Consider the following 15211-nt stretch of genomic DNA (forward strand, 5'->3'; position numbering starts at 1 on the left):
TATTCCTATCAAACTATCAATGCCATTATTCACAGAATTAGTACTAAAACTTCTAAAATGTATATGGAACCATAAAGAGCCTGAATAGCCAAAGCAATCCTTAGCAGAGAGAACAAAGCTGGAGGCATCAAATTACTCAACTTCAGACTATATTTTAAGGCTACAATAGCAAAAACAGCATGGTACTTGTTGGTACAAAACAGACACCTAGACCAATGCAACAGAATAGAAAACCCAGAAATAGAGTCACATATCTACTACAGTCATCTAATCTTCAACATAGTTGACAAAAATGAGCAACAAGGAAAGGAGTGCCTATTAATAAATGGTTCTGAAATAGCTGACTAGCTATGTGCAGAAGAATGACACTGGACCCCTACATTTCACCATATACAAAAATTAACTCAAGGTGAATTAAGATTTAAATGTAAGACTTCAAACTATAGGAAACCTAGAAGAAAACCTTGGAAACACCATTCTGGACATGGACCTTGGGAAGTAATTAATGATTAAGTCCTCAAAAGCAATTGCAACAAAAACAAAAATTGACAAGTGGTACCTAATTAAACTAAAGATCTTCTGCATACCAAAAGAAACTATCAACAGAGTAAACAGATTACCTAGAGAAACATAAAAAACATTCAATAACTATGCCTTGGACAATTGTCTAATATTCAGAATCTATAAGGAACTTCATTAATTAAACAAGCAAAAAACAACTTCACTAAGAAATGAACAAAAAGCATAACAGAAATTTCTCAAAAGAAGGCAAAGAAATGTCCAACAAAGGTGTAAAAATGCTCGGCATCACTAATCATCCAAGAAATGCAAATCAAAACCAAATAAGACATCATCTCATACTAGTCAGAATGGCTATTATTAAAAAATTAAAAAAAAACCCACAGATGTTGGGTAGGCTGTGGAGAAAAGGGAACACATGTACACTGTTGGTGGGAATGTAAATTAGTTCATCAACTGTGGATGACAATGTAGAAAATGTCAGAAAACTTAAAACACAACCACTTTTTGACCCAGAAATTCCATTACTAGGTATATATTCAAGAGAAAACATATGGTGCTATCAAAAAGACACATGTTCACTGCAGCACTATTTACAATAACAAAGACATAATCAACTTATATGCCCATCAACAGTGGTTTGGATAAAGAAAATGTGATACATACATATTATGGAATGCTACAAAGGCGTCAAAAAGAATGAAATCTTGTCCTTTGCAGCAATATGAATACAGCTGCATGCCATTAACCTAAGAAAATTAATACAGGAACAGAAAACCAAATACCACACGTTCTCACTTATAATTGGGAGCTAAACATTGAGTACTCATGGGCATGAAGATGGTAAGGGTAACAATAGACCCTGGGACTACTTGGGGGGAATGGGGCCAGGGTTGAAAAACTAACTAGTGGGTACTGTGCTCAATACTTGGGTGATGGGATCATTCATACCCCAAATTTCAGCATCGTGCAATATACCCAGGTAACAAACTTGCACATGTACCCTTGAATCTAAAATAAAAGTAGAAAAGAAAAAAACTGAAAAAAAAATAGTCCTTCTTTATCTTGAAAAGCTATCGTTCACTCTCTAAAGCCTAAGAAGTTACATAATATATTCTACAAATTAGCTGGTGTCCTTATAAAAGTAATGCAATTTTGGACTGATGACACTGTGTTGTACTTTTTGTGAAATACAAGGCACAAGACCTTATGTATCATTTAGACATTTTCAGTCTAATCAATCGCTAAGGTTACATTTAATTCTTGGCAGTGAATTATAATTTGTTTATATTTCAGCATTTAAGTCATTGTAAAGAATAAGAAAAATGGTATTGTAGTAAGAGTGTTTATGCTAATAACTGGAGTGTTGAACACATCTCTTCTGCGAACTGCATCATCTCTATTGCACTTGGGCACTTAGAGCAGTTCATTGATTTAGTGCTTCCTTATTCATGCTTTCTTCCTCTGAAGCCTCTAACATTTCTTCATATTCACCTTTCTCATTATCAGGTAAGTCTTTTGAAATTTATTATCTAGCTAATTTAATATTATTTTCTTTACTGTTGTGATGCTTCTTTTTCATATCAAACTGTTGCTTTTGTTCTTGTTCTGTTGCGGGAAATCAAGAGGCTGGAGAGACAGAATGGGGTGCAGGAGAGTTTATTTTAAGGTATACACCGGCTCGGTGGACATGCATCCTAAAAGTCTGAGCACAAGACAAAGAAAGCAGTTGCCTTTTAAGCAGTTGATGGCGGATATTATGTGATGCAGGAAGCAAGTTTATAGAAGTGAGAACAAAAGCAGTTAATTATTATGTGACATTTTTGAGATTTAGTTTACATTTTGGGAAAAACATGTCTTTTAAATTATACTTATTTATTTTATGACTTTGCAGTCTTATAGCAAGAAGAAAAAGAAATTTACAGATTTTATAAAATATGTGGGAAAGAGATAAGGTTAATGTTTTACGGTTTTTACAGAAAGGTAGTTAGTATTTCTTCTTAACTTTTACTTTAAGTGGGTTACTAATGCCTATTACAGTTAAACCTTTTATTATTACTATTTTTTATTTTAAAAGGATAATCAATTTTTTAATTTTTCTACTTCAGTTCCTCAAGTACAACATGACTATCCTCCTCTGTGATTCTTTCTTGTTGTTGAACTCTTCTATACTTGGCCTCCAGCCTTCACCAGCACCTAATTTGTAAGCTAATATATTTCATGTCATGGCTTCAGTGGCTTCTGAGCCACTCAAGGCATTTTCCTCATTACCTATCACACTGTACTCACCACTTTTCACTAAACAATAGCCATTGTGGGCTCTATGTTGCCACAGTACTCATTTCACTCCACTTCTGGGTTTTATTCTCAGATCTTCACTGACATGCATGAAGGGCAGGCTGATGCCACCACAATGTCCTAGGTTCCTCCTTGCTCTTCAGGATAGATGTGATGAGCAGCTGCATGGCTCCAGGCCACTTCTGCTGTGTCTCAGTGATACTGCTTGGCTCAGGACCTGAGAAGGGAAGGGCAGGGCCAGGAGAGATACCCAGGACAGCCATGGAGTCCTCTCAGGGCCACAGCCACTGCACCTGCTGTCATAGATATGGCTACTTGCTTTGTTGTCACTAGAAAATGACCTAGGTGCCACAGCTGAGGCTGTCTCCATGGGCATATTTTATGATTCATATGTGTTTAAAGTTATTAAATGCTTTTCAACATATAAAGATTTGTGCTCAGTACCTGGGTTATGGGATCATTCATATACCAAACTTCAGCATCATGCAACATACCCAGGTAACAGACTGAAAAAGGTAGTCCTCCTCTCTCATTAAAAGATATTGCTCAGTCTCTAAAGCATTAAAAAAATCATATTATCACTGATTTATATGCATTTTAAACTGGTACAAAAGGACATCTTAACATAAAGAAAGAGCAACTTAATAACTAAATAAGTAGAAAAAACTTATGCTCGTGTGTAAGAAGGCTCATATTTTTTCAAAGGCAAATTCTCTCCACATTGACATGTAGATTAAATGTCATCCTAATCTATACATTAGCAATAAATTTGGTAGAAATTGACAAGCTAAATCTAAAATATATTTGGAAATTCAAAGAACTAAAAACTTTTGATAAATATTAACAAATTAAAATTACTCAGCCTGATTTTAATTCTTTTTTTCTTTTTCTTTTTTGAGATGGAGTCTCGCTCTGTCACCCAGGCTGGAGTGCAGTGGCACGATGTCGGCTCACTGAAAGCTCCACCTCCCGGGGTCACGCCATTTTCCTGCCTCAGCCTCCCAAGTAGCTGGGACTACAGGCGCCTGCCACCACGCCCAGCTAATTTTTTCTATTTTTTAGTAGAGACGGGGTTTCACTGTGTTAGCTAGGATGGTCTCAATCTCCTGACCTCGTGATCCGCCCACCTCAGCCTCCCAAAGTGCTGGGATTACAGGCATGAGCCACCGTGCCCATAAAGGAGATTGTATGGTTTTATTGTAAATATATTTATATGTTATATATTATGTTATATGTTATATTATATAATTATATTGTGTAATATATAATATAAGATATAAGTATATAATTGCATTATGTAATTATATTGTATATACAGTATATATTATACACATAATGTATCTATTTTTATACTATATAATGATAATTATATAACTTCATTACATAATTATATTGTATATAGAATATATACTATATACATAGTGTAAAAATTTTGTACATTATATATACACTACATATATAATATACACTATATATACAATATTATATAATATACACTATATATACAATGATATATAATGATGAAGTAATAGAGAATTCAGAAATAGATCCCACAATATATTTTATGACAAAAGCACCACAATAACTTTATGGAAAACAATGCCAGAGTAAATGAATTGAAGAAAAGCAAGTATTTCTAAAAATAGGGCTTTACGAATTGAATATTCACCTTAAAACAATATATCTTGATTTATACATATCATACACAAAAATTACCTAAAAATAGATTATAGAAGCATACACAAAATCTAGAGCTATAAACTTAAAGAAATAAACAAACAAAAAAACAAAGAAAAGCCTTTGCAAATTTGGGTAGGTAAAAATAAAATATAGAGAAAATTACGGCTAAGTCAGTCTTTTGCAAAATTAAAAACTACCACTTGTCTACATATATATGTGTGTGTTGTGTGTGTGTGTGTATTCTAGCCAAAGGCTAGGAAAATATATTTTTAACATACTATTTACAAAGTATTTTATACATGTAAAAACTTATGCAACCCATGTAGAAATTGATAAAATATTTTATTAGATCTTTCATTAATATGTATGTATGGGTGTGCAGGTATGTGTATATATGTGTGACTATTAAGTACATAAAAGATGAGCTACATTATTAGTCAGCAGAAATATGCAAGTTAAAATCACAATGGGATACTATTTCATATGCACTAGAATAGCTAAAAATAAAAGAAATTATAATACCAAATGTTGCAAAGGATATGGAGCAATTGAAACTCTCATATGTTTCCAGAAATATTACAAGAGCTTACAACCACTGTATCAATTATTTATAGAGCAACTGCAATTATTTATAGCATTTATGAAATTAAACATCCATCTCTGCTGTGACTCAGGAATTTTACTCCTAGAAATTTACCCAAAGGGTATAAAAACAAATGTCCACAAAATATCTTACACAGAAGTGTTTATAAGCAGTTTATTTTATTTTGTTTGTTTATTTATGTGTTTTACTGCCTGAAACAGGAAACACATATCAGCAGGAACAGATAAATGGAGGTATATCCATACTATGGGATGAGATCTCATAATTCAAAAGAAAATCTACTAATACCAGAAAAAAAATATAAATGGATTTCAAACCCTGGATTCTGACTCAGAAAAACCTGACACAAAAGAGTAATTGTTATTTATTTTATTTGGGGCTGTAGAAATGACAAACTTAATATATTGTGAAAAACAACAGATCTGGGAGTTGAATGGATTCCTGGAAAAAGCCATTTGAATTAGAAGTAGTAGTGAGCAAAAGCTATTTATCTACACTTACTTTTTTTTTAGTCTTGCTCTTAACCATTAAATTTTAAAAGACTAGGCTATTTTCCCCAGGACAGGCTGTTAGAACCTGACTTGGACTCCACCTTCCTGCGACTGCTCTTCAAATACCAACAGCTATGTCTTCCACAATACCCCAGTGACCATGGAAGACAATTTCTATTTTACTACCAGAAGTGCCTGAAATTGACAGCATATTAGTGAAACCATATAGAAACTATACTGAATTCAAGACTGAAAGTTCTGTCTCTGCTTTTCATTCCATGTCATTTGCCATCTATTGCCAAATTAAAAAATCAAAAGTTCTGAATACCAGGAAGGACACCATTAAGATTAAATGCATGAAGGCAGTCATGAGAAAGACAGAACCAATCCCCAACTCCACAATAGCTCTCCTAGGCAAAAGTGTTGTTGCCAAAGACAGCAGAAAGAACCCAGTGGGTTAGAGTTAAGGGAGCATCATAGTAGATCAATAGTCCATTATTCATGACCTGTGAAATTAAGCCCAAATAGAAAAGGAAATAAAACCTCTGACAAGATATCTCTAACCATTTTTTTATTTTTCTTTTTTTTTTTTTTGAGACGGAGTCTCGCTCTGTCACCCAGGCTGGAGTGCAGTGGCCGCATCCCGGCTCACTGCAAGCTCCGCCTCCCGGGTTTACGCCATTCTCCTGCCTCAGCCTCCCCAGTAGCTGGGAATACAGGCGCCCGCCATCTCGCCCAGCTAATTTTTTGTGTTTTTAGTGGAGACGGGGGTTTCACCGTGTTAGCTGGGATGGTCTCGATCTCCTGACCTCGTGATCTGCCCGCTTCGGCCTCCCAAAGCGCTGGGATTACAGGCGTGAGCCACTGCGCCCGGCCCTCTGACCTTTTTTTTTCACTATGCATTTACTACCTGTATGGGAAAAAAAATCTGTCTAAACAAATTATGTTCTTTCCCAAAGAGTTGTGTTTAGAGACATGCTGACATCAAGGAAAATTTAAAAATTAGTATCACCAGTTCCTTGTTGAGGGGATTTTCTGTCGTTTCGTATCAGAACCTCATCATATCCATTTCCTCTTATGTTATTTGTTTCTGGGACTCGATCTGCCTCATCTGGTGGCCCCATCTGGTGATGTTTCTCCATCATCTCTTGAGATAACACATTTGAGTCCTGCGTCCACAATGATGTTTTCTCTGCCTTTTTGCTACAGAATTGCTGTATCTGTGAAACCAAGGACGGTGTCTTCCTTATCCTCACATTTATTTCTACTGTAAGATTGTCCTTAATAGATTATTGAGCTGAAGTTTAGTCAAATGTTTCTGAAGTTTGAGTCCCAGGAATTCCAATTGGTTGCTGGAATTGAATAACTTCTTTCTTTTACTTTTCTTTTCTATCTGATTCAGACATTTGTGTTTCTAACATTCTCTTCCAGGTTTGATATGTTGGTGCCTCTCATTATAAGTAATATGAAATCAATTCCTTATATTTCTCCTAGAATCATCTATTATTCAAATCAATTCTATCTACCTTTTTCTCACTCAGTTGGTAATACCACCAATGAAATACTTTTTTCCATTTGTCCAACCAGGCATACACTTAATAGATAATTATCTTGCCTGAGATCCCATTCATAATTTTCATCTGTATCTGCTTAAGAGGCTTAATTCTATAATTTTTCCAGCATCTCACAGAGCCCAAACAAGGTATATGTATCTACATCTTCAGTAACTCTAACACCTTGACCACACTTAATATTACTTTAATTATTGTATACTATCTTCCATCTTAAAATTGCATATGTATACATATATTCTATAACCACAGGGTACAGCTTTTCGCTGTCTTTAAGGGTGTTTTCCATATAATAATGAAATCATCTGCCCTTTATCTGATGTTCTCTTTAACAGCAGTTTGCATGGCCCATTTTCCTCCTTTCATTTTCTTGGCCTGTCATGTACGTATTAAAAATAAAACTCAGTTTTGCTCTGCAACAGAAGAAATTCAGGTGTTTCAAAATTTAACGGAATCAAATATCATTGTGCCCCCTGATGCTTACAGGGCATGTAAACACTTTTCTTCTTTGTACACTAATGCTTTGCCTTAGCCAAGCATGTGTAGGAAAATCTGTGCCTGAAAAATAAGCTGTGGTATGTGGGCTTCCTGAAATCCTGCCTTTATGAACCCTCATTTTGTTTAGGTTTCTATGGTCATTATGCCTTAACTTGTATTTCTACCTCACTATAAAGAGAATCATTTATGGATGAAGCTTCTTTGATCTGTATTAAGCCACCAAGATCGAAATACCCTATGGCTAGGTTAAAATCTCACTCTAGCACTGAAAAGTCTTACAAACATAAGAACCTCCTCCCTTTAGCCCAATGTAACCTTCTCAAACCATGTAAGAAATTAAATCATCTATCAAAAAATAAAGTCCAAGCCCCAGCATCATGCTCCAGTCTCCATGGAAGTTTCTCTGTGTAAATACTGTGCACTCCTGAATTCCACTCTTTTTAATTTTGTTTCTTAATATTTTTAACCCCATTATTAAAGTATCTAAAGACTTAGAGCTATTAATGCTCATCTTCCCTACCCAATCTGTGATCTCAAACAGTGGAGAGATAGATAAGATTACAAATATAGATTGAAGACTGAGAGTCCAATGTGGGATTAGGGCAAGAATTCTCCTTCACCATTCTTCTCCCCTTCTGCTTGGCCCTCATGGGTTCAAGTGTCTTAAAAAAGTAGAGTAGCCCCTTTTCCCTGCTATTTTTCCCAAACTTAGTAACTAAATTTATTACTCTACTTTCTTAGGTTAACAAATGAGGAGGATGGAGACCTTGAATGTATATGAGGAAGAAATCTCTTTTTCAGGGAAATCAGGAATATAAATAAAAGACAGGCAAAAAACTACCACGTAAATGCAAACTAAATGATAAAGAGACAAGTTAATAGTATAATACCATTGACTAATAACACAAGTATATTTCATAAAATATTAAATTTTGGCCAAAAAAGCAGTCAAATAATATAAATTATCATTAAGAATATGGGAAAACAGATCCAAGTAGGTACTGCTGGTTGACACATAAATGGTAATAGCCTATCTAGAAAACAGTGTGACAGTATTTAATAATATTAAGTCTGTGTCTACCTTACAATGCAGCAGTTAGATGTTGAGTATTTGCTGTAGAGAAACACACACCCCTGGCCAAATGTGTCATGCACAGGAACGGCAGATAAAACTGACTTGCAAACATAAGATGTGGATTTATATCCTGGAATGACACAGTAGCTAGAAACGATAAATCAGAAAGATGTACAGTAACAAAAAGACAGTGTTTGATGAACTGTGAAAGCTACAAAATCTATAGAACCATGTATTTTATGTTTATTAGAACACATAAACACTCAACATGAAATGGACAACATTATTTTATGAGGACACATACATATGCAAGCATATGTCAAACATAGTAGTGTGAAAGCCTAAGGGCACAAGCAAAAAGAAAAAAAAACAGGAAAGAAATTTGGTAATGATTTGTGGTAATTATATGCCATGAATCAGATGAATGATCAATGATCATCACTACGTATTTCCCACAAAATAAACTGTAAACAGCAGAAGGAAATGGCAAATACCCACTACAAAATGCTCAGTTGATACATAAAGGAAAACACAGTGCCAATAAATACTTCAAGAATTTATCAAAATCACTACTAATTGCAGCAATGCAAATAAAAGCAATAAGGTATTAATTCTTACCCATATATTTGTAAAATAAAGATTGGGAAGTACTGCATGTTTGGAAAAGTGTATGGTAAATAAAGGATCCTCTCTGTTCTCAGAAGTGTAAATTTCTATATTCATTTTAGAGGAAAATAGTGGAAGCATTTTGTAATATTTAATTTAAATTTCCTTTTAATAGGCAATTTCATTACCTGCTCATATTCTCTACACATGCATAAAGAATAGGGAGAAAGTACAAGAAAGCTTATTATAATTTTGATTATAATAGTGAATAATTAGAAACAAATAGATAAGCATCAATATGTGAACAATAAAATAAATTGAAGTTTGGAATACGATATGGTAGTACAATGAACATGGTAGAATTTGTTGTAAATAGGATAAGTAGAAGGTATTTAAACATATGTTGAATAAATTTAAACAAGAACAAAAATGCAATACAGTAAGATAAATTGAGAAATAGGAAGAAATATTTAATGTATGCATCTTTTGTTTTATTGATTTAACTAACGCATCTAATAACAATTTCATTTTCTTGTAACACTCTCAGAGCTCGCCTGTAATATAAATGTTCATTTTCTGCTGGTGGTACTGCCTGTGCCCAGGCAAAGATATACATGTTATCCTAATCCATTAGTTTATGTGGTGTACTAATCAGATTTGGCTAGGTTATAACTGCATAACAAACAACTTCCAAATCTTAGGGGTTTACAAGAAGTAGGATGTATTTTTCACCTACACTACATGTTTATTACAACTCAATTGCATGTCGTCTTCACTCATAAACCCATGCTGATGGGATAGCATCTATTTAGATCATTTACCAAGATCAAATAGAAAGAAGAAGCGTTCATGCAAACTGTTCCCTGGCTCTTAAAAGTTTCTGCTCTGGAGTGCCACATTTCTGCTCACTTGTAATCGGCCAAAGTAAGTTATATGCAATCCTAAAATCACCGTAGTGGGGAAGCATAAATCTTCCCCAGAGAGGAACACTGAATAGTTTTTAGTAATAATACAATCTAACATAGTGTGTTAATGAAAGGCACCTATATTAGGTGAACTTATATAGAAATGTAAAACTTGATTCATTTAATTCAGAACTTTAAAAATTATTCTGAACTAATTGTAAATTGCTATATTAGCAATTTACAAAAGTTGAATTATCACAAGTTAGTGTTACAGGCACTTGGCACGTGAGCCTTAAGCAACACCACTTGGAGCTGATGATGACAATGTTTGATTAATGGTATCATCAGAGATGGGATGATAGTGAAAATCTGGCCAATCATCTCCTATGTTAATATGAAAGGCAGCTAATTATTCTATTTTCTGTGTGTTGTGAAGGGTGTTTGATAATGGATACCTACATATTGAAAAGTTGTCTATTGCATTTCAGAAATAAACATTTTTGTAATTGTTTTCCTAGAAAAAAATATTTATTGTGTGATTAAATCAGAATCATATAATTATATTGATATGATTTTTAAAACCCTACATATGATTGTTCCTCTCTAGTTTTCTAATTGGATATAAAAGTCTTTGGAAAAGAGATTTTCTCTTTTGTAGCTACCTGAGACTATGTTATTCCCTTTTATAATTAAGAATTTAATACATATTTATTTTGTTTTTATATTTATTATTCATATTATATACGTACATGATGCCCTTTTCTATTTATTCCTTTTATGTAAATATTTTATTATATATTTATTACCTTTTACATTTATTACATGTTTATTTTATTCCCTTTTATTTATTATGTTTCTTTTATAGCTGAGGTTGTTTTATTTATTTGTGTATCAAGTCAGTAATCCTAATTGACAGATAATAATCCTTAGCTCTCGAATGGTCATTTTTATGTACACATTCCATTTATTCATAGAATTGTAAATGGTGATTTATTTAGTGAATTGGCTAATGGTCATGATTTGAGCAATTACTGACAAAAAGGTGGCTGCAGATAGGACACCGATGAATATCTTAAATTATTGTTAAAAATACTGAATCAAGTCCAACTTTGTCAAAATAATCAGCAGAATTATTATAATTTGGCTATTTTCCTGAATATGGAAAGACCCCTAAGGTAAAAATTGGCCTAAGACCATTCTGTAAACAAAACAAAGCAAACAAAGGAACAACAAAGAATTCCCTTTTCTTCTGTTTTCATTTAGCCCCACAATCCTAAGGCAGAAGAGACTCATAACACAATTGTATCATCTTAGGGAAATTGACACAACACTGAATTACTGGGGCAAGTGTCAGTTTTTCCTCTAAATGAAGAAAATCTCCTGCTCCACCTCCCCATAATAGCTCTTTTCCAGAAACTGAGTTTTTAGAAATTCATCCATACCATGTGTTCCTCTGTGACCATGTTAACTTCTTCTTTCCTCTGGCGACTAAGGGTGAGCATTTCACACATAATGCTAGTGGTCTTTTCTCAACTTTTCCCTCACATGTTCAATATTGTTGCAAATTAAACACACTTTAGATTCAGTGAAAAAGAAGTAAAGGGATTATACTAAAATAAACTTGTTGTATCGTTCACACTTTTTAACAAAGTTTAAAAAGATTTTTTTTGACTCTGGCTACTCCTAGAAGGAAGGAAATCCAAAATACAGCTATATACTTTAGCCCTGTGGCTTTAGAAGATAGGTCCAGTGAATCTCTTTTAACAGGCATAAATATCTTTATGTTTAAATAGTCTCATGAGACACGTTAGAAAGAACTGAATCTCTCAAAAGGATGACTATTTGTCATAGCTCCTTGAAATTACATTTATTTAAATAATCATATATCAAGTGAACTACATTCTACTTAATCTGAATTGTATTTTTCATGAGATAAGCAAACTAGGTATTTGATACTGGATTACAAATCCTACTGTAATTGACGATGCTCTACTGTTCCCTTTTTACTCAATTTGCTATTTCTCTCCTGTTCTCTTTTACTTCATTCTCTTATTTTCTTCTTCTTTCTATAGCATTTTTCCTAACTTACTCATGTTTGCCCTAGGTCTCAGCCACACAAAACATTACATATTGACCCAGATGGTACTGATGAAGAAAGGCATTTCTCACCTTGGTGTGTATGTGTTTGTATAGGCCGGAGGGGAAAAAAACATAACTGCTTTTCTTTTCTTTCCCTTTTTAGCTTCTTAGTTGAGACACTCTCCTGAAAATAACAGCCAAGTTAACAAAATTAAAGCAAGCAGAAGTTCATTAACCCATTCCCATCACAAGCAAAAGTTCATTAACCCATTCTTATCACATCGGAGAGGCTTTAGTTCAAAATTATTTCTCACAAAGCAGAGGCTTAGGGGCTTTACTTAAATCGTATTTTAATAAAGAACCATAAATCCTATATAGTGAAAAGACAAAGGAGAGAGAAGTTTTCATCTTTTAAAAGATGGGAAAATATGGGAGAATAGTAAAACCGCTTCCCAGATGTCTCTGGTGTGTCTGAGGGTGCCTTCCCCGGGCCAATGAGAAAGTGTTGTCTCCAGTAAGAAAATATGTATTGCTTACCACCAGGCAAACAGAGGCTGAGGAAGAGTGTTTCCCTGCATTTTTAGTGTCTTTAACTTAACAATTTCTTAATATTTTGGGGAGAATTATTTTCATTTACGTAATGTCAAACAAAAATTATTAACTATTTTCTTTGCTTTCCAGCCTTAAGTCTAGACATTGGGAGACAACTGAGGAAAAAGTCATTGAAACAACTATCACAAAGCAATTGGGGATTGATTCATAAACCTGAGTGTCAACAGAAAGAAAAGCATCCAAGAAAAATAATAGATCTGCCTAGTTTCCCATGATAATTCAGTGGTTCTACCCTCTGGCTCACATGGCCCAGTGGATGTTGACTCTTTCTATCACACTGGTAACATATATTCCTTTTCTTCCTAGCACTGAAAATTGTGATGAGTTGACTCAAGGTCCTTTCCCCCAAATACTCTGGGGGGACCGAGTTATTTTAATAATTTCCTTTTTTTATTAATGATATATTAAAGAATGTCATAATGGATTTTCTTATAAAATATGTCCCCAAATTTATAGAAAAAAAAATTTTATTATTTTAAAATGAATAGCAATACAATTAATGTAAGACTATATTTATAGCAAGATTATTATGTAAAGAAATCCTGTATAATAATAATAAAATTAAATAAAATAAATAAATAAATAAAAAAGAAATCTGCATTAGGCAGATGCTTTGCATTCAGCATTTATTTACTGATTTATATTATCCTATTATTTCTATGTTCACATACAAATTTCAGGCTGAAATAGAAATCTCATGAGCATTGAGCCCACTTTTCATATTTCCACTTTCATGCAAATATTTCTATACTGGGCTATGACATGCATTGCCTAAAGCAGCATCATTTACAGCACATTTCATGGTAGGTAACCCAGAAGTTATACTTCAGGAACTTCTCCATTAAATATTTTGGAAAACAGAACAGTATGTCTTGAGGCTCAATCTAGTGCATGGTATTGTATCTTTGCAGTTCATAGAAACACATTTTAATGATTGGCCCAGGGAGGAAGCCCTCAGTGTCAACGGACAGGAATGAGATTTGCCAGTTTGTGTTCAGAGAGAATGAACAGGATAATTAAAGCAATGCATACTCTTTTTGAATTATCATAATCACCATCATCATCATCATTGAGTTATTGGATATTTTCATCATTATTATACATTACGTATCATTGATATACTTTAGTTTATATGAATTTTGAGATAGATACTTTCTCCTTTTCTAAATTTTCCCCCTTCTATTCCAAATATTTGTTTAAAATCACTTTCAATAGATTAATAATTCAGCTAGTGAATATATATTTTTGGTCTAGGTATATCAAGATATTCTTTTTGTTATACTTGTAACTGAGAATTACTATGTTGATATTCATGTTAGAAAATTTTAAAAACGAGGAAGTGGGAAATGCAAAAACCATGAATTAACAACATTGAGAGAACAATTAAAAGAATGTATTACTGATTAAGCAATTACATGAAATCAAGTCAAATATGATATGTAGCAATTTTCAAGAAATGATCAACCTTACATTGGAGAAGGTAATGATCTAAATAATTTCACCCACTGTAATTTATGCACTTATGTTAAAGAACTACAATCTGTGTTCAAAGTAGGTGCAATACGAAACAAAACAGATACTTCCTCCAAGAATATAGTAAGAACAAACAGGCATAAATAAGGTGTACCCCTTAGGAAATTTTAATTAGGTTATTTGCATATTTTCATCACAGTTGGTACCAAATCTCTAGACACTCAAACAATATAATCACTTAAGCTTTTGGAATACTATACTTTTAGGCCATATTGTGTTCAAACTCACTTGTGTGTGGAATATAAAGGTAAATAGTTGAGATTCTTTTAAGGCCTACAAATAAATTTGGGTCTGTCAAATAAAATGTATTGCATTGTTTTTGACCAATTTTACTTGTTTAAGTGGCTTTTGGAAGATTGCTAACACACCAGAAATAACGAGCTTTGGGAAAAGGAAAAAATAAATAGTGTCTGAATATGTTAACGAAACTTTCCTTTTTTGAAAACAATGATTATCTGTGACTTTTCTTATGCCTCAATTTTTTTTTCTCTCTTCCTTTCTGTTTGTTAATACTGCCAAGTTTAGTTTAGGTATTAAATCAATTTTGAACTAAAAATGTGTAGTTGAAAATTTTACTTCTATTAAATAATATTTGATTTTGGCTAAAATATTTTTCAGCTGGAATAATTCATTTCTGGGTCATTACTGGTACACCCAAACCCCTAGTCATGAACTCGACCTTTATCATTCTGTCTGGCACAATAACATTTCTCGATACCCTGGTATTTTCCTTTTTCACT

General features: G+C 33.5%; 1 long non-coding RNA gene and 1 pseudogene across 2 annotated transcripts in view; one reads left to right on the top strand and one right to left on the bottom strand.

Annotated features, from left to right (window-relative positions):
- PPP1R2P8 (protein phosphatase 1 regulatory inhibitor subunit 2 pseudogene 8) lies at window positions 1587–3171 on the top strand (annotated as a pseudogene).
- LOC105374678 (uncharacterized) overlaps window positions 12349–15211 on the bottom strand; it is a 108785-nt gene continuing 105922 nt past the window's right edge. For both annotated transcript variants that reach the window (XR_001742406.2, XR_925838.3), the window contains one exon: window positions 12349–12510. This is a non-coding gene — a long non-coding RNA (uncharacterized LOC105374678). The remainder of the gene's footprint in view (window positions 12511–15211) is intronic.

Source organism: Homo sapiens, chromosome 5 (genome assembly GCF_000001405.40).
Source record: "Homo sapiens chromosome 5, GRCh38.p14 Primary Assembly".
Classification (NCBI taxonomy): Eukaryota; Metazoa; Chordata; class Mammalia; order Primates; family Hominidae; genus Homo; species Homo sapiens.